The sequence below is a fragment of the Homo sapiens genome, chromosome 19, assembly GCF_000001405.40.
Source record: "Homo sapiens chromosome 19, GRCh38.p14 Primary Assembly".
NCBI lineage: Eukaryota > Metazoa > Chordata > Mammalia > Primates > Hominidae > Homo > Homo sapiens.
The window spans coordinates 49,144,946-49,169,490 of NC_000019.10; the positions used below are offsets into that span (position 1 = coordinate 49,144,946).

General features: G+C 56.3%; 3 protein-coding genes across 16 annotated transcripts in view, besides 6 other annotated features; 2 read left to right on the plus strand and 1 right to left on the minus strand.

The window, feature by feature from the left end:
* Window positions 1-6,081, plus strand: part of PPFIA3 (PPFI scaffold protein A3) — a 31,483-nt gene extending 25,402 nt beyond the window's left edge. For 2 of the 7 annotated variants that reach the window (NR_103842.2, NM_003660.4), the window contains 9 exons: window positions 998-1,060; window positions 1,221-1,247; window positions 3,138-3,313; window positions 3,721-3,818; window positions 4,048-4,223; window positions 4,312-4,380; window positions 4,602-4,773; window positions 5,135-5,206; window positions 5,291-6,081. Coding sequence is in view for 4 of the 7 variants with exons in the window: in NM_003660.4 (NP_003651.1) it covers window positions 998-1,060; window positions 1,221-1,247; window positions 3,138-3,313; window positions 3,721-3,818; window positions 4,048-4,223; window positions 4,312-4,380; window positions 4,602-4,773; window positions 5,135-5,193 (840 nt within the window). In the remaining 3 variants the exon portion in view is untranslated. Of the gene's footprint in view, window positions 1-997; window positions 1,061-1,220; window positions 1,248-3,137; window positions 3,314-3,720; window positions 3,819-4,047; window positions 4,224-4,311; window positions 4,381-4,601 lie in introns of all 7 variants that reach the window. The other 5 variants (XR_007067023.1, XM_047439582.1, XM_017027407.2 and 2 more) reach the window with 5 other exon arrangements.
* Window positions 4,578-4,797: an enhancer, noted in NCBI's record as "active region_14927". NCBI's record gives its function as "activates an Ori minimal core promoter by ATAC-STARR-seq in GM12878 lymphoblastoid cells {active_cell/tissue: GM12878}" and the evidence as "EXISTENCE:reporter gene assay evidence [ECO:0000049][PMID:35858748]".
* Window positions 6,082-6,252: 171 nt separating the features above from the next.
* Window positions 6,253-10,451, minus strand: HRC (histidine rich calcium binding protein). Of its 2 annotated transcripts, NM_002152.3 has the most exons (6): window positions 8,462-10,451; window positions 8,316-8,386; window positions 7,365-7,433; window positions 7,059-7,113; window positions 6,572-6,608; window positions 6,253-6,387 (listed from the first exon to the last, which is right to left on the minus strand). In NM_002152.3, the coding sequence occupies exons 1-6, from the start codon at window positions 10,290-10,292 to the stop codon at window positions 6,351-6,353; spliced, it is 2,100 nt and encodes a 699-aa protein (NP_002143.1). In that variant the 5' UTR covers window positions 10,293-10,451; the 3' UTR covers window positions 6,253-6,350. The 2 variants fall into 2 exon arrangements, with proteins under 2 accessions (NP_002143.1, XP_016882222.3); XM_017026733.3 differs by lacking the exons at window positions 6,253-6,387; window positions 6,572-6,608; window positions 7,059-7,113; window positions 8,316-8,386.
* Window positions 6,387-6,996: an enhancer, noted in NCBI's record as "H3K4me1 hESC enhancer chr19:49654589-49655198 (GRCh37/hg19 assembly coordinates)". NCBI's record gives its function as "activates a minimal SCP1, AML or CMV promoter by ChIP-STARR-seq in primed H9 embryonic stem cells {active_cell/tissue: H9 hESC(primed)}" and the evidence as "EXISTENCE:reporter gene assay evidence [ECO:0000049][PMID:30033119]".
* Window positions 12,581-13,202: an enhancer, noted in NCBI's record as "H3K4me1 hESC enhancer chr19:49660783-49661404 (GRCh37/hg19 assembly coordinates)". NCBI's record gives its function as "activates a minimal SCP1, AML or CMV promoter by ChIP-STARR-seq in primed H9 embryonic stem cells {active_cell/tissue: H9 hESC(primed)}" and the evidence as "EXISTENCE:reporter gene assay evidence [ECO:0000049][PMID:30033119]".
* The window catches only part of TRPM4 (transient receptor potential cation channel subfamily M member 4), a 54,045-nt gene continuing 42,346 nt past the window's right edge, over window positions 12,847-24,545 (plus strand). For 2 of the 7 annotated variants that reach the window (NM_017636.4, NM_001195227.2), the window contains exons 1-6: window positions 12,847-12,945; window positions 13,247-13,314; window positions 21,096-21,270; window positions 22,972-23,152; window positions 23,315-23,478; window positions 23,608-23,791. In NM_017636.4, coding sequence (NP_060106.2) covers window positions 12,922-12,945; window positions 13,247-13,314; window positions 21,096-21,270; window positions 22,972-23,152; window positions 23,315-23,478; window positions 23,608-23,791 — 796 coding nt within the window. In that variant the 5' untranslated portion in view covers window positions 12,847-12,921. The other 5 variants (NM_001321282.2, NM_001321281.2, NM_001321283.2 and 2 more) reach the window with 5 other exon arrangements.
* Window positions 13,886-14,072: a silencer, noted in NCBI's record as "fragment chr19:49662088-49662274 (GRCh37/hg19 assembly coordinates)". NCBI's record gives its function as "represses an EF-1alpha promoter that drives an FKBP-Casp9 reporter gene in an ReSE screen in phorbol 12-myristate 13-acetate-treated (for megakaryocytic differentiation) K562 erythroleukemia cells {active_cell/tissue: K562(+PMA)}" and the evidence as "EXISTENCE:reporter gene assay evidence [ECO:0000049][PMID:32094911]".
* Window positions 20,382-21,025: an enhancer, noted in NCBI's record as "H3K27ac-H3K4me1 hESC enhancer chr19:49668584-49669227 (GRCh37/hg19 assembly coordinates)". NCBI's record gives its function as "activates a minimal SCP1, AML or CMV promoter by ChIP-STARR-seq in primed H9 embryonic stem cells {active_cell/tissue: H9 hESC(primed)}" and the evidence as "EXISTENCE:reporter gene assay evidence [ECO:0000049][PMID:30033119]".
* Window positions 21,026-21,668: an enhancer, noted in NCBI's record as "H3K27ac-H3K4me1 hESC enhancer chr19:49669228-49669870 (GRCh37/hg19 assembly coordinates)". NCBI's record gives its function as "activates a minimal SCP1, AML or CMV promoter by ChIP-STARR-seq in primed H9 embryonic stem cells {active_cell/tissue: H9 hESC(primed)}" and the evidence as "EXISTENCE:reporter gene assay evidence [ECO:0000049][PMID:30033119]".

The window sequence follows — 24,545 nt, forward strand, 5'->3', positions numbered from 1 at the left end:
TTTGAGATGGAGTTTCACTCTGTCGCCCAGGCTGGAGTGCAGTGGTGCGATCTTGGCTCACTGCAACCTCCGTCTCCCTGGTTCAAGTGATTCTCCTGCCTCAGCCTCCTGAGTAGCTGGGATTAAAGGCACACGCCACCATGCCCAGCTAATTTTTGTATTTTTAGTAGAGATAGGGTTTCACCAACGTTGGCCAGGCTGGTCTTGAACTCCTGACCTCAGGTGATCCACCCGCCTCTGCCTCCCGAAGTGCTAGACCACTCTCAGCCTAATTTTTGTATTTTTAGTAGAGATGGGGTTTCTCCAGGTTGGCCAGGCTAGTCTTCAATCTCCAAAAGTGATGTGCCCGCCTCAGCCTCCCAAAGTGCTGGCACTACAGGTGTGAGCCACCACGCCTGGCCACAGTTGTTAATTTCATTTACTATTCACTCTGTATTCAAATTTCCCCAACATACTTAAAATATGTTCATTGTTTCTCCCCCACTAGGACGAAAAGTGTCTGTCGTGTCCCTTGCCATATCCCACACCCTATGACGGTGACTGGTGCCTGACACTCACCAGAAGTACATAAATGTTTTTATCCTTGTATGGATTCCTAACTCGTGAGGTTGTTGGGAGCAGAAGCTCAATAAATGTGAACCCCCCCCGCCATACTCCCTAAACATTTGCACCATGGCTGTGTCTGTCCCCCACTTCTGAATCCTCATTCTGTACCTCTGTGTGAGGTCAGCGAGGTGACGTCATTTGCACAGGGCCACACAGCAAAATGCATGGCAGGGTCCCAATTCCAACCTGAATTTGTTCAACTCCAAAGTCACATTGCCTGGTACATGGCAGGTGCCCTATAATAAGAATCATTCCTTTTCTCTGTTACTGCTTGCCCCAGAAAGCAGGAGGGACATAAACGTGTGGCCCAGGGCCTTCAGGAGGACACCCTCCTTCCTCTCCCCCACGCGAAGCCCTCTCCCACCATCCATTAACACTCCCTGCCCCTCAGTCCACAGGAAACGTGTGGATGACACACGAGGAGATGGAGTCCCTTACGGCCACGACCAAGCCCGTGAGTGCCCCCTGCCGGCCGCCTTGGGGGTGGCACTAACCTTCTTTGGGGGTGGGGGCGGGGACCGAGTCTGTGGCCATCCCTAAGTCCGCTCCTTGCGTCCTCCTCTGCCTGCCCCTTAACTCACCCCTTCTCTCCCCTCTTCCTACTAACGGGTCAGGAGACCAAGGAGATCAGCTGGGAGCAGGTAGGGGGCGCGGGGCGGGGCGTGAGCGCATGAACAGGCTGTGCACGACGCATGGATGCCCCTCCTCCGAGCCCTGCCCCTGCCTTCACCAGAACATGCCATCATCCCCATGGGGGGGCGCTGCGCCAAGCTTGGCTCTGGACTGTTCCATTATGGCTTGGCGGTGGGGAGGGTAGAGGGGATGCGATGTGGAAGCCCAGACTGTTGCATAGTCAGCCTTATGCATGGACCATTTCATCATCGTGGGTTGTGGGGGCTCTAAGGGGCTTCAATTCTGTAGCTCAGGAGAGACTGAGCAGCCGGTGTCCCTATAGTGGAGGGGGCGGGGGCTACAGTGGACTGCTCAGTGTACCAGGGCCAAGGAGGACACACTGGCTGTGGTGGTGGTGAGGCAGCCAGGCTGAATGAGAAGTTGGGGAGGAGGAGCTACACTTTGTTCTCAAGAAACAAGAGGCGGCCGGGCGCAGTGGCTCACGCCTGTAATTCCAGCACTTTAGGAGGCTGAGGTGGGCAGATCACCTGAGGTCAGGAGTTTGAGACCAGTCTGGCCAACATGGTGAAACCCTGTGTCTACTAAAAATACAAAAATTAGCCGGGTGCAGTGGCTAGCGTATGTAATCCCAGCTACTTGGGAGGCTGAGGCAGGAGAATCGCTTGAACCCAGGAGGTAGAGGTTGCACTGAGCCGAGATTGCACCATTGTACTCCAGCCTGGGTGATAGAGCCAGATTCCATCTCATAAAAACCAAACAAATAAACTAACAAAAAAACCCAAGAGGCATGAACTCACTGTCCACGGAGGAATTATGTTTGACTGTGGTCATAGATCACATATTTCCAGCCAGGGGGAGGCGTGGATTTTGTGCTGATGCTGAAAGGAGTGAGGGACTTGGGACTCATCTGGAATATTGTCCTGGGCCAGATATAACATTAGACAAGTATTTTCAGGACATTGCAAGAGTGATGGCCCTTTCTTAGTGGGAGAGCTGCCTTGAAAGAGTCCATTGTCCTGACTTGGGGGTTTAGTGACGTTGGACTGCAGTGAGACAGAGTTAAAGCAGTGCTTCCCCAAATTTAATGTGTAGTGGGGTGGCACACACCTGTAGTCTCAGCTACTTGGAAGACTGAGGCAGGAGGACCGCTTGAGCCCACGAAGCTGAGGTCAACCTGGGCAACATAGTAAGACCCTGTCTCTAAAAAATAAACAAATACAGCCAGGCGCGGTGGCTCATGCCTGTAATCCCAGCACGTTGGGAGGCTGAGGTGGGCGGATCCCTTGAGGTCAGGAGTTTGAGACCAGCCTGGCCAACATGGTGAAACGCCGTCTCTACTAAAAAATACAAAAATTAGCCGGGCGTGGTGGCTCGTACCTGTAATCCCAGCTACTCGAAGGCTGAGGCAAGAGAATTGCTTGAACCTGGGATGGGGAGGTTGCAGTGAGACGAGATCGTGCCACCGCGCTCCAGCCTGGGTGACATAGCAGACTCTTTCAGAAAGAGAGAGAGAGAGAGAGAGAGAGAAAGAGAGAAAGAAAGAAATTTAAAAATAAATATAATGTATATTTCGAATCACCTGAGGGTCTTGTGAAAATGCCGATACCGACTTCAGTAGGTCTGGAGTAAGGTCTGAGATTCTGCAATTCCAGCAAGTCCACAGGTGATGGTGACGCTCTAGGTCTCAGGACAACTGTTTGAGTAGCCAAGAGTATATGCTGTCATGAAGGGCTAGGAGACAACTCTGGATTGGTCCATTATCCTGAGCAGAGATTGGTCATTGTCCTACCATGGGGTGGGAAAAAACCTTGGATTGGGAGGTTGGACTGTACCCCTCTCATGCACAGTGGGAAGGGGCCAGAGGGCCTGACTCTTCCCTCACCTGCCCATGGCCCCAGATCCTGGCATATGGCGACATGAACCACGAGTGGGTGGGGAACGACTGGCTGCCCAGCCTGGGGCTGCCCCAATACCGCAGCTACTTCATGGAGTCGCTGGTGGACGCTCGAATGTTAGATCACCTTAACAAGAAGGAGCTCCGGGGCCAACTCAAGATGGTGGACAGCTTTCACAGGTGGGGGCTGCCTGGCCAGTGGGGACAGTCCAAAGGGAAGCCCCACCCCAGAGAGTCTTTGGCCAATAGGATTGGCCATGGGAGATTCCCAGGCTTATCTTGGCCCTTTTAGCCTGAGTTCTCAGGAAATCCTGACTCTGTGCTCCTTTCACCAATGAGATGGTCCACAGGAAAAGTTCAGATCCTGAAATGGCTTGGCTAGTTAACCCTGGACCCCTTCCAGGCTGGCCAGTAGGAAGTGCCTATTATTGAAAATGCCTCACCTCCTGAGGGGGTCAACAGTCAATAGAACTTATCAGCTCCCCACCCTTTCCAAGAAGAGCGCAGCCAGTGGGGAGGGACCCGTAGGAGCAGCAGTCTAGGGGACTGGAAAGCTCATCCGTGACTCCACTTCCCCTGCTGCTCAGGGTGAGTCTACATTATGGGATTATGTGCCTGAAACGGCTCAACTATGACCGGAAGGACCTGGAGCGGAGGCGGGAAGAAAGTCAGACCCAGATCCGAGGTGAGTAGAGCCTAAGGGTCCCTTTGGGAGCCAGGTGGAGGGCGTGGAGCTGGATGGGGAGGAGAGGGGGTAGGGGGAGACCGGAGAAGCAAATTGGCACCATAACCGTGGGGGTGGAGCCAGCGTGGGGGGCGTGGCCCGAAGAGACCAAATGGAGGTGGAGGTATGGGCTAAACTGAACTCTCCAGGCCACGGGAGGGGCACGGCTGAGGGTCCCTTCCGTCCCCAGACGTGATGGTGTGGTCCAATGAGCGGGTCATGGGTTGGGTGTCCGGGCTGGGCCTGAAGGAATTTGCCACGAACCTCACGGAGAGCGGGGTACACGGGGCACTGCTCGCCCTGGACGAGACCTTCGACTACTCCGACCTGGCCTTGCTCCTGCAGATCCCCACGCAGAATGCACAGGTGAGCTGCCGCTGGGCCCGGAGCATGCTGGGCGTCCCCACCTCGCAGACTGCACGCTCCAACCGCCCCCTCCACCTCCTCTTTCCAGGCCCGGCAGCTTCTGGAGAAGGAATTCAGCAACCTTATCTCCTTAGGCACAGACAGGCGGCTGGACGAGGTGGGCGCGGCAACAGCTCAGAGGGCTCTGCTCCCAGCGGCTCCTCGAGAGGCTGAGCTGAGGGGGCGGGGCCTGACTATTAATGGTCACGGTTGGAGGCGGGGCCAGGAGAGGGGCGGGGTTAAAGGAGAGGTGAGACCCGGAGAGGGGTGGAGTCAAAGGAAGGGGCGGAGTCAGACAAGGCAGGAGTCCCTCACCGGCTGTCCGGCTCCTATACCTAGGACAGCGCCAAGTCTTTCAGCCGCTCCCCATCCTGGCGGAAGATGTTCCGGGAGAAGGACCTCCGAGGCGTAACTCCCGACTCAGCTGAGATGTTGCCCCCCAACTTTCGTTCGGCTGCAGCGGGAGCCCTGGGCTCTCCGGGGCTCCCTCTCCGCAAGCTGCAGCCAGAAGGTGGGGGGCTCCCAAATGCGACAGCCCTTCCTCGCTTCCCTAGGGTGGGGCATGGACCACCTCAGTAGTCCGGGTTCTGGAATGGCCTAGTCCTTTCTCGCCCACCCCTGAGGAATGGACTGCTCCAACGTTCCGGACTCCCCCGTCAGGATGAAATGGATAAATCCCACTCCCCCTTCCCAGGGCGGGAGTGAACTCGCCCAATGCGAGTTTGAGTCCTTGGCTGCGGGGAAGGGAGGGAAACCCATGTGGAGCCCGGCGATCGTTGTGACATCGGGAAGGGAAGTCCAAAGGGAGGAATCCTGGAGAGGAACAGGGAGGAGGGTGCTCCAGGCTGAACCGCTGCTCGCTCTCCCTCCAGGCCAGACTTCTGGGAGTTCCCGGGCAGACGGCGTTTCGGTCCGGACCTATTCCTGCTAGTGCAGGCCTCCAGGTGAGGACCGTGCTGGGCGACCTTGGGGGTGCGGGGCGGCACGGTGGATCTTCACTGCTCCACGCGCTGCCCGGCGTCATGCAGGTGACCTCACTCGGACGGAAGAATCTTCCCGAGGCTGGGCTGTTCCCTCTCCTGCCCGGACTGTGGCCTCGCCGGGGAGAGCGGGCGGGGGAGCTCGCGCCGAGGACTGGACCATCTGTACAGACCAGCGGGAGTGCGCGCGCCCGCCTCGCACAGGGCCGGGGCCTGGACCAAACCACATGAACTGGACTGAGAGGGGGAAGAAGCGGGGAGGAAGAAATCCCGCCCCAAACGTCCGCTTTCCTTTTCTCTACTTTGTAATTTATTGATCAGTTTCTGTTGGGAGACGGGTGTCCTTTACCCGCGGGAAGGGGGCGGGGCTTCCCTCCCGGGCCGCATGCGGGGAGAGGCTGCTCCCTCCCCTTTTTCCTGCCCAGTCGCGGGGCCCAAGTCTTCCTTCTTCGTCCGAAAGGAGGGGAGGGGGGACTCGCTGCTACAAGCCTCGCCCCCTGTGCCACTCAGCTCCGCCCCGCCGCGTCCGGTCGCCGGTCCCCCGGGTCATCTGCGGGCGGGTTCCCCTCTCCCTCCCCCGTGTCTCGTGTCCCCGGGGCCTCACCGCCCCCCGTGCTGTGGCCGTGTCCGTGCCCCGGGGGTAGGGGGCGCAGAATGGCGCTTCCCCTTCTCCTCTGGCTCCGGGGTTTGCATGGGAGAATCCTCTTTCCACGATGCCGCTGGGCGACGTGGCGTGGGGGCAGGGGGACGGTGGGGGAGCCCTCGCCCCCGACTCTCGGTCGGCCTCCCCGCCCCAGGCGTCACTCAGTGATCACGGGTAAAGAGAACTGTTTCAAAAAGCTTCCTTGTTGACTGATTTTTTTTTTGCGGGGGGGGGGGGGGCTGTTCAACCAACCACCTCGAGCCAGGAGTCCAGGCCCCTCATCCCTCAAGTCTAGGTCCAGGTCTCTAGACCCTACCCGCATTCCCCGATGCCCTGAGATTCCCAGACCCCACGTCTGACAATGAGGTTTCGGGGAGCACGTTTATTCGGAGAAATAAATATAGCTCGTGGAAAGGGGTTGGAAGGCAGGGGGAGGTACACCTGCGTCGCAGTCGAGCGACTGGGTCAGGGTTCCGGCGTTTCCAGCATGTCTGCCAGGGCCCTGGAGACGAGAACGCCAGAAGTTAGACAGCTGGTGTTCAAAGCCCACCCCAGGACGCTTAGAGATCATTAACCTGCCCATTTCATGGACGGGGAAATGGAGTCCCAGAGTCATCTGATAACTCATAGCGAGACAAGCACTTCTCTAAACGGGGCTTTTACACGCTCCCCTTTTACACACTTACTGATAAAGGGACGAGGAGAAATAGTCAACGTAGCTTCCTGTGGGACAGCAGAGAAAAGAGGCTTGAGGGGTACTGCACGAGCAAAATTAGGCAGCCACTCAGTATAGCGTGCGAGATTAGTGCTAGCTCCACCTCCTTTTCCCTAATTCCTTCTTCCAACTGAATCCCTTCTACCGGACCCCTTTTTCGTTCTGGGTGATTCCGTTCTCCAGTAGCCCCGCCCCTTCGATTCCTACTTGAGTTGGCCTCGCCCATTAGGCTCTAAGCCCGCATCTCAACCCTCCACTCATTTCTGTCCCTTGGCTCCAGCAACTCCACCTGGTGTTCCTCGAGCCAGGCCCCGGCCCACGTGCTCAGAGCCTTGGCCACGCCTCCCCTCTTAGCCCCGCCCCACCAGCCTACCGGGCCAGGCTCCGCCCCCACCAGGATTCACCACGCTGGGCCCGGCACCTTCCTCAGGTTTTTCCAGGGCCCCGCCCATGCTCACCTGGAGCGCAGACCGTTTCGCAGACCAGCGGGCAGAGATAGCAGAACTGACAGTGCTGGAGGCGGGGACGGGGAGAGAGAGTGAGCGTGGGGCGTGGCCGGGGGCGGAGTTAGGATGGGGCCGGGACCAGACCCGGACCAGAGGCTAGGTCTAGGTTAAGGTTGGAGTCAGGATCGCTTGTGGAGTCAAGGTTGCATCAGGGGTAAGGGGTTGGGTCAGAGGCCAGGATTTAGGGCTGGGGGTCCTCAGAGGGTCCCGGTGCATCCTGAGGCCCAGTGGAGCCTTGAGTGTGAGGTGAGGTCTCACCTGGCACTGGTCGCAGTGCTCACCCATGTTCTCCTCATCACAGTGACAGCTCTCACATTCAGTGCATCGCTGGGGACCGGGGGAGCCTGGTTAGATGGAAACTCTAACGCCACTTGGGAGGTACCCGCCCCTGGCCCACCCCTGCACCCTGGACGCTTCCCCAGACTCTACCCTCTTTATCTCTAACACTGAGCTCTGTATCTGCCCCCCAAACCAGCCTCCCCTCCCCTCCCCTGCCCCTGGTTTCCTTCCTTTCCCTTTTTTTCCTTTTTTTTCTTGAGGCGGAGTCTCTCTCTGTCGCCCAGGCTGGAGTGCAGTGGCGCAACCTCAGCTCACTGCAACCTCCGTCTCCCGGGTTCAAGCGATTCTCCTGCCTCGGCCTCCTGAGTAGCTGGGATTACAGGTGCGTGCCACCACGCCCGGCTAATTTTTTTGTATTTTTTAGTAGAAATGGGGTTTCACCGTGTTAGCCAGGATGGTCTCGATCTCCTGACCTCGTGTTCCGCCCACCCTGGCCTCTTAAAGTGCTGAGATTACAGGCGTGAGCCACCACACCCGGCCCTGCCCCTGGTTTTCTATCTCAGGGCGACCCCATGTCTCCCTGTCAGGGTGGGCTCAGGTGCTCTCTCCACCCGCTCTCTGCCTATTCTCCCCCTAGCCTATCAGCCCCTGTGCCATCCCTCCTTCCCCCGACTCTCTTTGCCACAGACCCCTGTCTCTGTCCCCACACCCCAAGATGCAGCTTGGGTCTTGTCCTCTCCTTCCTGGACCACTGCCCCAGCCTCCCAGCCTTCAGTCTGTCCTCACCTCACATGCCTGCAGAAGGATCTCTTTTCTTTCAGAACTGACCCTGGCCTGCCCTTGCTCTGAGCCCTCCCACAGCACCACCCCAGGGCCCCTGGGACAGATTCTGGGGACACCTTGGTGGGTGGATCTGGGCTGGGGACATACATTGCAGAAGGAGCAGTAGCCACACAGGGACCCTGGCTGGTAGTTCCCATACTCCTGAGCATCCTGTGGACCTGCGGGGACAGGAGGGCAGCAGTGACCCAGGCTGACTCGGTTCCTTCCCACCCACACCAGCCCAGGCCACTTACCTGTGTCCTCACCGCTTTCCTCCTCGCTGGAGGCACCTCCAGCCTCCTCTCTCCTGTCCAGTGGGTTGGGGATGATGGTGAAGCGGGGCTCATCTTCCTCCAGCCCCTCCTCCTCCTCCTCTTCCTCCTCGCTGTGGTCTGGGCTCAGTGGGGCCCCAACCTCAGCCCTCTCTTCCCTCCTCTCCTCGTCTTCTTCCTCCTCCTCCTCCTCCTTGTCTTCCTCTTCTTCCTCCTCCTGGTTCAGGCTGAGGCCATGACCTTCCTCCTCATCCTCCTCATCTTCCTGGTCCCGGCTGCCATGATGGGTGCCTTTCTCTCCCTGCTCTGAACTTTCATCGTCTTCCTCATGGGAGCCGGGGTCCTCTTCCTTCTCCTTTTCCTCCTCAGAATCATCCTTCCTCAAATGGCTTCTATCCTTGACCACTGTGTGTCCTGGGGGGTGATGGCTCATCTCTTTGATGGACCCTCTTTGACCATGGCCAGTTTCTTCATCTTGGTGGCTTTGCCTGTGGCTGGGGGCCTGGTGGCCAAGCTCAGCAGAGACCTCCTCATCTTCCTCCCTGGGGACTCTGTGGTGGTGATGGTGAGGGACTTCTGTTTTATACTCATCTTGGAAGTCCTCTTCATCACTCTTGTGGCCTCGAGGTTGGTGGCTTGCAACATAGTGGCCGAACTGGACTGTGATCTCCTCTTCTTCCTCTTCCTCATCTACAAGGCCATGGTGGACATGTTGGGGACCCTGGTGCCAACGTTCAGTGGACACATCCTCATCTTCTTCCTCGTCTCTGTGGCCTTGGTGCCTGTGGTCAGGGACATGATGGTGGTGTTCACCTGAGACAGCCTCAACCTCTTCCTTTCTGTGGTCTTGGTGCCTGTGGGCCTGGTGTCCATACTCAGTGGAGACATCATCATCATCATTGTCATCTTCTTCATGGCTTCGGTGCCTGTGGCTGGGGTCGCGATGATGGTGTCCATCTGAGACATCTTCATCCTCTTCAATCCCGTGGCCTTGGTGCCTGTGAGCCTGGTGTCTATATTCAATGGAGACATCATCATCATCATCATCATCATCATCATCATCATCATCATCGTCATCTTCTTCATGGCCTTGGTGCCTGTGGCTGGGGCCATGATGATGGTGTCCATCTGAGACATCCTCATCCTCTTCACTCCCATGGCCTCGGTGCCTGTGGGCCTGGTGTCCATACTCAGTGGAGGCCTCCTCTTCCTCCTCCTCCTCCTCCTCCTCCTCTTCTCCTTCATCATCTTCCCCATCATGGCCTCGGTGTCCATGCCTGAGGATATGATGGTGATGCTCACTGGACACAACTTCATCCTCATCCTCGTCTTGATGGCTGTGGCTCCTGTGGCTGGGGAGGTGGTGCCTGTGCTCAGCTGAGTCTTCCGTGTCTTCACTCCCGTGGCCTCTGTGCCCACGGGCCTGCCCACCATGCTCTGCAAAGACCTCCTCACCTGAGACACCCTCATCTCCGACTTTGTGGTCTTGGGACCTGTGGCCTGGGAGTAGGTGCCCATATTCCTTGGAGACATCTTCATCCTCCTTTTCACGGTCTGGGTGGCTCCAGAAATGATGCCCATTCTCTGTGGAAACATCCTTGTTCTCATCTGGATGGTCTCTAGGGCTGTGGAGGTGGTGGCGAAGCTCTGCTGATGCCTCCTCGGAGAGCCCGGCGACTCCAGTGCTGTTGTTCCGGTTTCTGAAGCCTAGCCCATCCCCTCTGAGCTGCTGGGTCATGGCCGGGGGGAGGAGCAGGCTGGCCACCCCAGCCCAGAGGACAGAAGCGTGCAGCCATGGCCTATGGTGGCCCATGGGGACGGACAGGCAGCACTGGCTCCAGCTGCCTCTGCGGCAATGTGGACAAACGTTGGGGTCTTTGTCCCTTTGGGGTTGGTCTCTTTTTTTCTCTGTGTCTCTCCTTTGTCCTTTCGGTCTCTGTCCACCTTCCTCTGGTCCTTGCTGCCTGGCTCTGGACACCCCTCTGAGGCTGTCTCCGGAGCCCCCTGACCCCCCTCTGGGGCCCTCCCTCCCCATTCCCCAGCCAATAGGGTCCTTCCCCTCCCCTCTCTCCAGCTAAATTTACTCTCAGCCCTGAGTTATTCTGGGTCAGTCCCCGCCTGCCTGCCTCCTGCTCCTCCTCCTCCCAGCTGGGGAGGGGACCAGTGAGGGGTCTCTCCCTGGCCAGGAGACGGTGGCCAAGGGACTTGACTTTGAACTACCAACAAGCTCACGTTTGGCAGCTGCAAAGACAAAGGCTAGACTTTTAGCAGGTTTTTGGGGGAGCCTGGGGCACCTGGGGGAGGCAGAAGAGACTTATCAGAGGGGAGAGACTCCTGGGACGGAAGGACTGGGGGTTCGATTGCGGGGTGTTTCCAGCTGGAATGATACGTGCTGGTGAGAGAGTGATGTCAGTATTGAGGCCCTAGAATGGGGGGAAAGGAACATGGCCCCCAACACACGTGCCCATGACCTCCTGTCCCTGGAACTCAGATCTGGGGGCAGGGACTGGGCTAGGCCAGGGCTATAAATACAGCTGGGAGGGGTAGGGGGACTCAGGTTACGGAGGCCACAGCTGTCCCCATCACAGAGGGCTGGCAGGAGACAAGTGGCCTTGCCCGTCTCTGTGTGTCAGTATTTCCTACTCCTCACCCTTCATGACTGCCCCCACTAGGGTCTCCTTTCCTGTTCACGGGTCCTCCTCTCTCTTCAATTCTGTCATCTGCTCTCTCAGGGTCCCTGTCCCTCCTCCATGGGATTGCCTCTCCCTCTCACTCTGGGCTTCTGTCCCACTCTTATCTTAGTGTCAGTCCTCCCCCAAGTCTGTGTCCCTCTCTCTCCCCTAAATCTCTGGCCCCTCCTTTCTGAGTTCCTGCCCTTCCCCCAATTCTTTGGTTTTTGCATCCCCCTCTGCCCCTTGCCTCAGTCAAGGTGTCTCCTCCCCATCTCTGGCATCCACCTCTCTGGGTCTCTGTCCCCACTCTCTCTCAGAGTCTCTGTCCCCCTCTGTCTCAGAGTCTCTGTCCACCTCTCCCTGGGTCTCTGTCCCCCTCTCTCTGGGTCTCTGTCCCCCTCTCCCTGGGTCTCTGTCCCCCTCTCTCTGTGGATCTCTGTCCCCCTCTCTCTGGGTCTCTGTTCCCCTCTCTCTGTGGGTCTCTGTCCCCCTCTCTCTGTGGATCTCTGTCCCCCTCTCTCTGGGTCTCTGTTCCCCTCTCTCTGTGGGTCTCTGTCCCCCTCTCTCTCTGGGTCTCTGTTCCCCTCTCTCTGGGTCTCTGTCCCCCTCTCTCAGGGTCTCTGTCCCCCTCTGTCTCAGAGTCTCTGTCCCCCTCTCTCTGGGTCTCTGTCCCCTCTCCCTGGGTCTCTGTACCCCTCTCCGTGGGTCTCTGTCCCCTCTCCCTGGGTCTCTGTCCCCCCATCCCTGGGTCTCTGTCCCCCCCTCTCTGGGTCTCTGTCCCCCTCTCTCTGGGTCTCTGTCCTCCTCTCTCTCTGGGTCTCTGTTCCCCTCTCTCTGGGTCTCTGTCCCCCTCTCTCTGGGTCTCTGTCCCCGTCTCTCTGGGTCTCTGTCCCCCTCTCTCTGGGTCTCTGTCCTCCTCTCTCTCTGGGTCTCTGTTCCCCTCTCTCTGGGTCTCTGTCCCCCTCTCTCTGGGTCTCTGTCCCCGTCTCTCTGGGTCTCTGTCCCCCTCTCTCTGGGTCTCTGTCCCCCTCTCTCTGGGTCTCTGTCCCCTCTCCCTGGGTCTCTGTCCCCCTCTCCGTGGGTCTCTGTCCCCTCTCCCTGGGTCTCTGTCCCCCCCTCCCTGGGTCTCTGTCCCCCCCTCTCTGGGTCTCTGTCCCCCCCTCTCTGGGTCTCTGTCCTCCTCTCCCTGGGTCTCTGTCCCCCTCTCTCTGTGGGTCTCTGTCCCACTCTCTCTGGGTCTCTGTCCCACTCTCTCTGGGTCTCTGTCCCCTCTCCCTGGGTCTCTGTCCCCCTCTCTCTGTGGGTCTCTGTCCCCCTCTCTCTCTGTCTATCCCTGGGTCCCTGCTGCCCCACCTTCTGATTCTCTGTCCCCTAAGTCTTTGTCTCCCCCTCTTTGGGTTAAATTGTCCCCTCCCTGTCTGGCATCCTCCTTTCTGAGTCTGTTCCCTCTCCGCCACTGGCCCCCAACTCCTTCTGTTCCCATCTCGCGCTTGCCCTTGGAGTCTCCCCTGTGTGTCTCTCTCCCCCCGGCCCGGACCTCTGCACCCCCCAGGTCGCTGTCCCTCTGTCCCCTTATCGCGGCCTGGGACCCGCCCTCTCCCCGCCTCCCGCTTTGGCGTCTCCAAGACTCCCCGCCCCCCAGACCTCGCCCCGCCCCAGGCTAGGCTGGAAAGTGGAGGATCCGGTTTGCTCTGGGCGGGTCTGGAAGCAGAGCCGGCGGAGGGAGCGCCGGGGCCCTGGGCTGCAGGAGGTTGCGGCGGCCGCGGCAGCATGGTGGTGCCGGAGAAGGAGCAGGTGAGCGCCGGACCAGGGTCTGCGGGAGCGCGGAGCTGGGGACCTCGCCTCCAGGCTCCCAGAGAGGAGGGCGCTGGACACCCAGATTCCTGGGTCAGACGGAGGAGGGGGATGGGAGGGTCCAGGTTCCAGGGTCCAGGGCATGGGGGTCGAGACTCCTGAGTCTGGAGCGGGAGGGCGCTGGGGGCCCGGACTCCTGTGTCCGTGGGGAGCGCACGGGGTGGGTGGCTCTGTGTCCCATAGGACAGAACTGGGTGCCCTCTCACCCCACTTCCACCCCTACATTTGTTCCTGTCCCCAGAGCTGGATCCCCAAGATCTTCAAGAAGAAGACCTGCACGACGTTCATAGTTGACTCCACAGATCCGGGGTGAGGAGTTCGCCCCTGGACTGACCCCAGAGGGTCCGCGGCCCGCTGACCCCGCCCGCGGATGGTCACGCCCCAGCCCTGCTCCTTCCCCATTCCTGGACTCGGGGACCTTCCCAAGGGCGTTCCTTGCCGACGCTCTCCCTCTAGGAGCGTTTGGGTCTGTGTAGACACCCCTCATTCCCCATTCGCCATTCTCCCGCTCAGGGTCAGTGTAGACGCTCCAGGGCTCGGTTCTGCTTCTTTCCTCCCCGATGTCTCTTCTATGTGCTTCTGTCTCTTCGTGTCACTTTCTGTGTCTCTGTCTTTCCCTTTTGGGTATTTCTGTTTCATTCATTCATTCATTCATTCATTCATTCATTCATCCATCCATGCAAGAAACCCTCACTCAGCGCTCCCAAGGTCCCTTTAGCCTAATTCAACGGCCCTGCCAGGGTTCCAATTTCCCCTGGGACACGTGCTGTGTGGCTTCGGGCAAATCATTTCACCTCTCTGGGTCCCGTTTCTCATCTGGGCATCAAAAGAGGCTTGATCTCCTGGGGTTATTATGAGAATTAAACAAGTTAATGCTTGTGATATTCCTGGCACAGCGCCCAGCACAGGACGCTGGGAAATATCTGCAGCTCCCACTGGGAGGTGGCAATTATTACCGCGGGCGGGCCCTGTCTTGGTGGCCGGGGACACCAATTGAGCTAGATAGGGTGTGTGCGTCCGCGAGGAGCTCCCGCCCTTCAGTGACGGCCTCTCAAGCGGATCCAGGCTTTCTAGTTTTTTTTTTTTTTTTTTTTTTTTTGAGACGGTGTCTCGCTCTGTCCCCCAGGCTGGAGTGCAGTGGCGCGATCTCGGCTCACTGCAAGCTCCGCCTCCCGGGTTCACGCCGTTTTCCTGCCTCAGCCTCCCGAGTAGCTGGGACTACAGGCGCCCGCCACCACGCCCGGCTAATTTTTTGTATTTTAGTAGAGACGGGGTTTCACCGTGTTGGCCAGGATGATCTCGATCTCCTGACCTTGTGATCCGCCCGCCTCAGCCCCTCAAAGTACTGGGATTACAGGCGTGAGCCATCGCGCTGGGCCAATTTTTTGTATTTTTTTTTTAGTAGAGACGGGGTTGCACCGTGTTAGCCAGATGGTCTCGATCTCCTGACCTCATGATCCGCCGGCCTCGGCCTCCCAAAGCGCTAGGATTACAGGTGTGAGCCACCGCACCTGGCCCAGGCTTTCTAGTTTTTTGTTTTTTGTTTTTTTGAGACAGAGTCTGGCTCTGTCGCCCAGGCTGGAGTGCAGTGTTGCGATATCAGCTCACTGCAACATCCACCTCCTGGGTTCAAGCAGTTCTCATGCCTCAGCCTCCCTAGTAGCTGGGATTACAGGTGCCTACCACCATGCCCAGCTAATTTTTTGTATTTTAGTAGAGACGGGATTTCACCCTGTTGCCCAGGTTGGTCTTGAACTCTTGATCTCAGGCAATGCACCTGCCTTGGCTTTCCAAAGTACTGGGATTACAGGTGTGAGCCACCGCGCCCAGCCCTCTAGTTGTTTTTCAAGACAGTTTTTGGGGTGCGGGAAGTATCCACATTCCTACTTCAGTGTGTATTTTGTTATGACTATATATTAGTGCAGTATGGCTTGTAAATGATGGATAAATAAACAGATATGCGCTTGTTGGACGTGAGTGCTCAAAACCTTTTTACTGATAGGTCAGTGTGGTCAAGACAATTTAGGAAACTCTGGTCTGGCCTGAGGAGGAAGAAACGCAGAAGATAATTATAGTAAGGCAAGGGGTTGCAGCTCCCAAAGACGAGCCACTGGGCTCTGTGAGAGCTGGGAGGAGGTGTTTGCTTAAGACTGGGAGGGGACACAAAATGTCACTAATGGTTTCTGGAGGGAGGAAGAGTGGCTAGTGAGGTGACATTTGAAAGTGAGCTGGAGAGAGGCCCATGGAAAGCGATTTGGGGCCGGGCATTGTGGCTCACGCCTGTCATCCCAACAATCTGGGAGGCCGAGGCGGGTGGATCACCTAAGTCAGGAGTTCGAGACCAGCTTGGCTAACATGGTGCAACCCTATCTCTACTAAAAATACAAAAATTAACTGGGCGTATTGGCGCATGCCTGTAATCCCAGCTACTCAGGAGGCAGGAGAATCACTTAAACCTGGGAGACGGAGGCTACTATGAGCAGAGATCACGTCACTGCACTCCAGCCTGGGTGACAGAGCAAGACTCCATCTCAAAAAAAAAAAAAAAAAGAAAGAAAGAAAGAAAAAAGTGATTTGAACAGCATGTGCAAAGTCCTTGCTAAGGACCATATGGTTTGGCTTGAATATGAATCAAAGTTCAGGGTGCAGGGAGCACTGTCATGAGAGAAGAGGCTGCAGAGGAGGGCAGGGCCAGAGCTTGCAGGGTGTCAGAGGCCACCCTAAGGGGCTGGGATCTTGTCCTTGGGAGCTGGGGCATCACCGCAGCAGTGGGGTTGGCTCTGGGTGTGGAAAAACTTTCTGGGGCTGGGAGAGGATGAACAGGAGCTCGGGAGGAGGCTGTAGAGAGCGTCTGAGCGGGAGGGGTAGTGGCCTGAGCCAGGTCAGGGCTTTCGGGACACAGAGAGGAGGGCATGGGGCAAAGACTCAGGGGGCAGGAAGGCAGAGCTTGGGGCTTGATGAGGGTGATGAGGGAGAGAGGGGGTGCCGCCATCGGTGGATGGCTCCGGGACGTATGCTCTGCTGACTGGGACACAGTGGGGCTGTCCCTGAGATGGAGAGCTCAGGAGGGCAAGCAGGTTTGGGAAATGTCGCTGAGTGCAATGTGGGAATCTGTGCATATGAGCGGCCTAGGGGGACCGAGGGGCATGTGGGGACTGAGATTGGGAAAGGTCTGGACTAATGTCCAGAATCTGAGAGGTCCGAGTTGTAGCTGGTAATTGAAACTGGAAGTAGGTAAGACGTCACAGGGAAAACAACGTGTAAAGTCAGGGGAGTTGCAAACTGGCAATTCTATAGCCAATTGTGTGCGTGTGTTTGTGTGTGTGTGTGTTTAGAAGAGCATTTAAAAATATCTGTCTTCTGTCTCTCTCTCTTTTTTTTTTTTTTTTTTTTTTGAGACAGGGTCTTGCTCTGTTGTCCAGGCTGGAGTGGCACGATCATGGTTCACTGCAGCCTTGACCTGCTGGGCTCAAGCGATCCTCCCACATGAGCCTCCGGAGTAGCTGGGACCACAGGCATGCACCACCATGCCTGGCTAATTTTAAAATTTTTTGTAGAAACCGGGTCTCCCTTTGATACCAGACCAGGCTGGTATCCAACTCCTGGACTCAAGTGAGCCTCCCACCTCACTCTGCCTGCCAAAGTGCTGGAATTACAGGCGAGAGCCACCATACCCGGCTACCTCTTTTTTTTTTTTGAGACGGAGTCTCGCTCTATCACCCAGGCTGGAGTGCAGTAGTGCGATCTCGGCTCACTTCAACCTCTGCCTCCTGGGTTCAAGCGATTCTCCTGCCTCAGCCCCCCGAGTAGCTGGGATTACAGGCACCCACCATCACGCCTGGCTAATTTTTGTACTTTTAGTAGAGACAAGGTTTCACCATGTTGGCCAGGCTGATCTCGAACTCCTGACCTCAAGTGATCTGCCCACCTGGGCCTCCCAACGTGCTGGGATTACAGGTGTGAGCCACTGCTCCTGGCCCTGGCTACTTCTTTCTGTTGAGTTACTTGACTGGCCTCTGCACACATTGGGTTTGAGAATCATGTAGGGAAGGCTTGCACTGGGAACACCTACACTCAAGGGAGGTGAAAAGCAAGAGAAAGCCACAAACAAGTCAGGCATGAAGCAGCCGGGGCGGGGAGGAAGGCCAGAGGGGCAGGGGTATCCTGCCAAGGAGAGGGTTTCCAGAATGAGAGCCTTTCAGCTGTAGCCAGGGCCACTTGTGATACAGTCAGATGAAACCTGAATAAGGGCCGTTGTATATGGAGCCAGGCAGGAAATTGATGATTTTTATCAAGAACAATTTCAGGCCAGGCACAGTGACTCACAGCTGTAATCCCAGCAGTTTGAGAGGCCGAGGTGGGCTGATCACTTGAGGTCAGGAGTTTGAGACCAGCCTGGCCAATGTGGTAAAACCCCATCTCTACTAAAAATACAAAAACTAGCCAGGTACTGTGGCACATGCCTGTAATCCCAGCTACTCAGGATGCTGAGGCACGAGAGTCGCTTGAGCCCAGGTGGCAGAGGTTGCAGTGAGCTGAGATCGTACCACTGCATTCTAGCCTGGGAGACAGAGCGAGACTCCATCTCAAAACAAAACAAAACAAACAAACAAACAAAAAAACAATTTATTTCAGTTTCTGTGGCTCCACCGAGGAAAGAGTGTAGGAGGCAAGCTGTGCAGAAGGAATGGCTCCTAGCACTGAATGTCAGAATTTTCCACGATTTTGGAAACGTTCTATGTCTACATCCAATATGGCAGTCCTGGCCACAGGGGGCTACTGGGCACTTGGAATATGGCCATTGTACCTGAGAAACTGAATTTTTTTTTGAGGTGGAGTCTCGCTCTGTCGCCCAGGCTGGAGTGCAGTGGTGCAATCTTGGCTCACTGCAACCTCCGCCTCCCGGGTTCATGCCATTCTCCTGCCTCAGCCTCCCGAGTAGCTGGGACTACAGGCACCCGCCACCATGCCAAGCTGATTTTTGTATTTTTAGTAGAAACAGGGTTTCACCATGTTGGCCAGGCTGGTCTCAAAGTCCTGACCTCAGGTGATCCGCCCACCTTGGCCTCCCTAAGTTCTGGGATTACAGGCATGAACCACTGCACTTGACCTGAATTTTTTATTTGATTTAATTTTAACTTATTAGAACAGAAAGAGCTCCATGGCTACAAAGAACCCATGCAGCTATCACATTGGACAGTACAAGCTCCAGACTATTCCGTGAAGAGCTTTTATTTTATTATTATTATTTTTTTTTTTTTTTGAGGCAGAGTCTCATTCTGTTGCCCAGGCTGGAGTGCAGTGGCACAATCTCTGCTCATCACAACCTCCGTCTCCCAGGTTCAAGTGATTCTCCTGCCTCAGCCTCCTGAGTAGCTGGGACTACAGGCGCGTACCACCATGCCCGGCTAATTTTTGTATTTTTAGTAGAGATAAGGTTTCACTATGTTGGCCAGGCTGGTCTCGAACTCCTGACCTCATGATCCGCCCGCCTTGGCCTCCCAAAGTGCTGGGATTACAGTCATGAGCCACCATGCCCGGCCTTATTTCTTATTTTTAGTGACATGGTCTTGCTCTGTTGCCTAGCCTGAACTGCAGTGGTGTGATCATGGCTTATTGCAGCCTTGAACTCCTGAGCTCAAGTGATCCTCCTGCTACAGCCTCCTGAGTAGCTGGAACCACAGGCGTGCACCACCACACCTGGCTAATTAAAACAATTTTTTTTGTAGGGATGGGGTCTCGCTCTATTGCCCAGGCTGTTCTCAAACTCCTGGGCTCAAGCAGTCCTTCTGCCTTGACCTCCCAAAGTGCTTGGATTGTGCCCAGCCGTCCTTGAAGTTTTGCTCAGAAGAGCAAACTTTCTGGGAAGTAGCTGCAGGTGTTGGAAGTAGCTGCAGGGGAACTAGGGGATTCAAGGATGGAGCTGAAATGGGTGAACGGACAAAGTCGGTAAACTGAGGCATGCCAGGGCCCTGGAGGTAGACTCAGGAATGAAGAAGACACTTTATTGTAGTTCTCACTGTGCCAGGACCTGGCCTAAGTGTGTTTGGTTCATCCCATGTGTGGATCAGTTAGCCGTTCTTTTAGTGTCTTTACGGCTTTTGCCAAATCCTTGTAGCACCTCTGCTATCCCTTCTGTAAAATTGCTCTTAAATCTGCTCACTAGGTTTGTGTAAATACAGGTCTCCCCTGATATCTGAACTCCTGGAATCTGGAACAAAGAATTTAGATACATTTTTCTCCTTCTTTCTTCCTTTCTCTTTCTTTTCTTTTCTTTTCTCTCTCTCTTTCTTTCTTTCTCTCTTTCTCTTTCTTTCTCTCTCTTTCCCTCCCTCCCTCCCTCCCTTCCTTCCTTCCTTCCTTTCCTTCCTCCCTCTCTGTCTCTCTCCCTCCCTCCTTCCTTTCTTTCCTTAGTTTTTTTTTTTTTTTTTTTTTTTTTTTTTTTTTTGAGATGGAGTTTCGCTCTTGTCTCCCAGGCTGGAGTACAATAGTGTGATGGCTCACTGCAACTTCTGCCTCCTGGGTTCAACCAATTCTCCTGCCTCAGCCTTCTGAGTAGCTGGGATTACAGGCACCCGCCACCACGACCAGCTAATTTTTGTATTTTTTTTAGTACAGACAGTGTTTCACCATGTTGGCCAGTCTGGTCTCAAACTCTTGACCTCAGATGATCCACCCGCCTCAGCCTCCCAAAGTGCTGGGATTACAGGCATGAGCCACTGCGCCCGGCCTCTTGCTTGCTTGCTTGCTTGCTTGCTTGCTTGCTTGCTTGCTTTTCTTTCCTTCTTTTCTTTTTTTTGAACAGGGTCTCACTCTGTTGCCCAGGTTGGAGTGCAGTGGCGTGGTCACAGCTCTCTGCATCACTGCAGCCTTGATCTCCCAGGCTGAAGTGATCCTCCTGCCTCAGCCTCCTAAGCACATGCTGCCACACCTGGCTAATTTTATTTTATTTTATTTTATTTATTTATTTATTTTTAGAGACAGGGTCTGACTATATTGCACAGCTGGTCTCGAACTCCTGGGTTCAGGTGATCCTCTGGCCCCAGCCTCCCAAAGTGCTAGGATTACAGGCATGAGCCATCATACCCGACCCTACATTTTCAAATGAATTTCTCATTCTCCAAACCCCTGTTACTTACTCAGGTGCCAATCACCTTTAGAAAGCAAGAGAGACTTGTGCATTTCTTTAGGTGGGGGAAAGTTTTATATGTGGAAACTTTCCAAATGGAAACCTGTTCCATTTGGCACAGAGAGGAAGAAACAAGCCACACAGAAGCCAAAGACAATGAAAAGCAAACAAAGGTGTTTCCCTACTCGCTAGATGGCTGTTGCCAGCTCCATTTTTTGAGCCCGAGGCCTGCTTTTCTTGTTCAAAAGAGTAGCAAAGGGTTAGGCATTCAAAAATATTCTAGCACCCGGCTGAGCCTCTCTCCTTGACAGTCGTCAGGAGAACTGAAAAAGGAATGACTTTCTCACTGCGTTATTCAAGGTTATTTTAAGCTCCGTGTGAAGTTCGTGTCGCGTTGCCTCTGGCTGGGACTGGTATGCGAGCCTCATTTCAGGAAACACGGCGTTCTTTCCCTGGCTCCTCATAGCTCCGTGGAGTAGGCCGCGCTATTATTGTCTTTTCATTAGAGGAGGAAATTTAGGCTCAGAGAGGTGAAGCCGCTCGCCCAAAGTCACACAGCCGCGTCAGCCCCGAGCATGCGGGCTCTCCCTGAGTTACCCGCTGGATGTTCTTTCTCGTGTTGAACGTCATGTGTTTGGATGGGGGCACAGGGCACAGCAAGGATACCCCCAGTGGCCCTCTGCCTTCCCACTTGAGGCTCCTCAGGTGACAGTGACCTGCTTCTTCCTGCTCAGGCTTTCTGGACTCACTGGCTTCCTTCCCGTGGGGAAAGGGGACCGTCCTCGGCTCCAGTCTCTCCCCGAGGCCGTCAGAGCCAGGGCCAGGGGCAGCGTGGACTCTGCCTGCCTCTGTGGGTGTGGACTCAGTGTCGACAGCCCCCTCTACAGGAGCATGAACACGCTGACAGGGTGCTGGGGTCGGGGGGCAGCCCTGGGTTCACGCTCCGCCCTCGCACCCCCAGAGGGACCTTGTGCCAGTGTGGGCGCCCCCGGACCGCCCACCCCGCAGTGGCCATGGAGGATGCCTTCGGGGCAGCCGTGGTGACCGTGTGGGACAGCGATGCACACACCACGGAGAAGCCCACCGATGCCTACGGAGAGCTGGACTTCACGGGGGCCGGCCGCAAGCACAGCAATGTGAGGCGGGCCTCTGTGGGCGGGGCCCGGGCACCAGGGGGCTGCATGCTCGGGGCTCCAGAGTGGAGCCGGGACGCCCGCCCTGAACCCTGGCCCCTCCGCCCATCCCTGTCTTGGCTCTCTTTGTCCCCTCCGCCCCACCTATCTTCTCTCTGAGGGGGTCCCGTTCTCTCTGCGTCTCTTTGTCTCTGTCTCCCTCTGTCTCCGTGTCCCTCTCTCTCTGGGTCTCTGTCCCCCTCTCTCTCTGGGTCTCTGTCCCCCTCTCTCTCTGGGTCTCTGTCCCCCTCTCTCTCTGGGTCTCTGTCCCCCTCTCTCTCTGGGTCTCTGTCCCCCTCTCTCTCTGGGTCTCTGTCCCCCTCTCTCTCTGGGTCTCTGTCCCCCTCTCTCTCTGGGTCTCTGTCCCCCTCTCTCTCTGGGTCTCTGTCCCCGTCTCTCCGGGTCTCTGTTTCCCCTTTTCTGTGGGTCACTGTCCTCATCTCTTTGGGTCTGTGTTTCCGCTTTTCTCTGTGTCTCTGTCCCCGTCTCTCTGGGTCTCTGTCTCTGTCTCTCTGGGTCTCTGTCTCTGTCTCTCTGGGCCTCTGTTTCCCCTTTTCTCTGTGTCTCTGTCCCCGTCTCTCTGGGTCTCTGTCTTCCTCTCTCTGGGTCTGTTTCCCCCTCTCTCTGGGTCTCTGTCCCCATCTCTCTGGGTCTCTGTCTGTTTCTCCGGGTCTCCGTCCCTGTCTCTCCGGGTCTCTGTTTCCCCTTTTCTCTGGGTCTCTGTCCTTGTCTCTCTGGGTCTCTGTCCCTGTTTCTCCGGGTCTCTGTCCCCGTCTCTCCGGGTCTCTGTTTCCCCTTTACTCTGGGTTTCTGTCCCCATCTCTCTGGGTCTCTGTCCCTCTCTCTCTGGGTCTCTGTCCCTCTCTCTCTGGGTCTCTGTCCCTCTCTCTCTGGGTCTCTGTCGCCATCTCTCTGGGTCTCTGTCCCATGTCTCTGGGTCTCTGTCCCTCTCTCTCTGGGTCTCTGTCCCTCTCTCTCTGGGTCTCTGTCCCTCTCTCTCTGGGTCTCTGTCCCTCTCTCTCTGGGTCTCTGTCCCCGTCTCTCCGGGTCTCTGTTTCCCCTTTACTCTGGGTTTCTGTCCCCATCTCTCTGGGTCTCTGTCCCTCTCTCTCTGGGTCTCTGTCCCCGTCTCTCCGGGTCTCTGTTTCCCCTTTACTCTGGGTTTCTGTCCCCATCTCTCTGGGTCTCTGTCCCTCTCTCTCTGGGTCTCTGTCGCCATCTCTCTGGGTCTCTGTCCCTCTCTCTCTGGGTCTCTGTCCCTCTCTCTCTGGGTCTTTGTCCCCGTCTCTCTGGGTCTCTGTCCCCGTCTCTCTGGGTCTCTGTCCCTCTCTCTCTGGGTCTCTGTCCCATCTCTCTGGGTCTCTGTCCCATGTCTCTGGGTCTCTGTCCCTCTCTCTCTGGGTCTCTGTCCCATGTCTCTGGGTCTCTGTCCCTCTCTCTCTGGGTCTCTGTCCCCATCTCTCTGGGTCTCTGTCCCTCTCTCTCTGGGTCTCTGTCCCTCTCTCTCTGGGTCTCTGTCCCCATCTCTCTGGGTCTCTGTCCCTCTCTCTCTGGGTCTCTGTCCCCGTCTCTCTGGGTCTCTGTCCCCGTCTCTCTGGGTCTCTGTCCCCGTCTCTCTGGGTCTCTGTCCCCCTCCCTGTGTGCCCCGCTCCCATGTGTCCACAGTTCCTCCGGCTCTCTGACCGAACGGATCCAGCTGCAGTTTATAGTCTGGTCACACGCACATGGGGCTTCCGTGCCCCGAACCTGGTGGTGTCAGTGCTGGGGGGATCGGGGGGCCCCGTCCTCCAGACCTGGCTGCAGGACCTGCTGCGTCGTGGGCTGGTGCGGGCTGCCCAGAGCACAGGTGACCGAGGGTGGGTGGGGGCTGTCTCCTGGGCCTCGGCCTGCCTGCCATCTCCCCCACGACTGTGGGTGGCCTCCCCCGCCGCCCAGTGTGTGTGTGTGTCTCTGTCTTATTCTTTGTTTCTCTCCCCCTGCCTCTGCATGTTCCTCGGCGTCTGTGTAGGAGCCTGGATTGTCACTGGGGGTCTGCACACGGGCATCGGCCGGCATGTTGGTGTGGCTGTACGGGACCATCAGATGGCCAGCACTGGGGGCACCAAGGTGGTGGCCATGGGTGTGGCCCCCTGGGGTGTGGTCCGGAATAGAGACACCCTCATCAACCCCAAGGTGTGACCCAGGGACTTGGAAAAGGGGGCTGGAGGCCTGGACTCCTGGGTCTGAGGGAGGAGGAGGGGCTCGTGTTTGTCCTTCTGGCCCCGATGAGGAGACGCCCTGGTCTGGCCATTTTTCCCCTAGGGCTCGTTCCCTGCGAGGTACCGGTGGCGCGGTGACCCGGAGGACGGGGTCCAGTTTCCCCTGGACTACAACTACTCGGCCTTCTTCCTGGTGGACGACGGCACACACGGCTGCCTGGGGGGCGAGAACCGCTTCCGCTTGCGCCTGGAGTCCTACATCTCACAGCAGAAGACGGGCGTGGGAGGTGAGTGGTCGAACCCATGACCCACAACCCACGACCCACAACCTGCAACCCCAGCGCTCAGGATCCCAGTAGTTTGGTCTGGTCGAGATTTGGGGAATTACCTATGGTTAAGTGTCTTTCCCCGTCATTATTCATGGTTTTAAAAACTTCTGTCTGAGAGTGAGTTAGCTCACATCAGTAATCCCAACACTTTGGGAGGCCGAGGTAGGAGGATTGCTTGAGGCCAGTAATTCAAGACCAGCCTGGGTAACAGAGCAAGACCTTGTCTCTACCAATAATAATAATAATAATAATAATAAAGAATAAAAAATAAATTAGCCAGGTGTGGTGTCGTGTGCCTGTAATCCCAGCTACTTGGGAGGCTAAGGTGAGAGAACTGCTTGAACCCGGGAGGTGGAGGTTGCAGTGAGCCGAGATCAAGCCACTGCACTCCAGCCTGGGCGACAAAGCAATACTCCATCTCAAACAAACAAACAGACTTTATTTTGAAATTTCTCATACATACAGAAAAATGCACGAAGGTGGACAGCTTGATGCATTTTTTTCTTTTTTTGAGACGGAGTTTTGCCCTGTTGCCCAGGCTGGAGTGCAGTGGCGCGATCTCGGCTCACTGCAGCCTCTGCCTCCTGGGTTCAAGCAATTCTCCTGCCTCAGCCTCCTGCCTCAGACTCCTGAGTAGCTGGGATTACAGGCACGTGCCATCACACCCGGCTAATTTTTGTATTTTTAGTAGACGGGGTTTCACCGTGTTAGC

Excerpts from the sequence above, each read along its gene's own strand:
- HRC (NM_002152.3), bottom strand. The coding sequence starts at position 10,292 with ATGGGCCACCATAGGCCATGGCTGCACGCTTCTGTCCTCTGGGCTGGG. Across the intron at positions 7,434-8,315 it reads GCTACTGCTCCTTCTGCAAT|CGATGCACTGAATGTGAGAG; the intron begins GTATGTCCCCAG and ends CCCGGTCCCCAG. Across the intron at positions 6,609-7,058 it reads CGAAACGGTCTGCGCTCCAG|GAAGCTACGTTGACTATTTC; the intron begins GTGAGCATGGGC and ends GCTGTCCCACAG.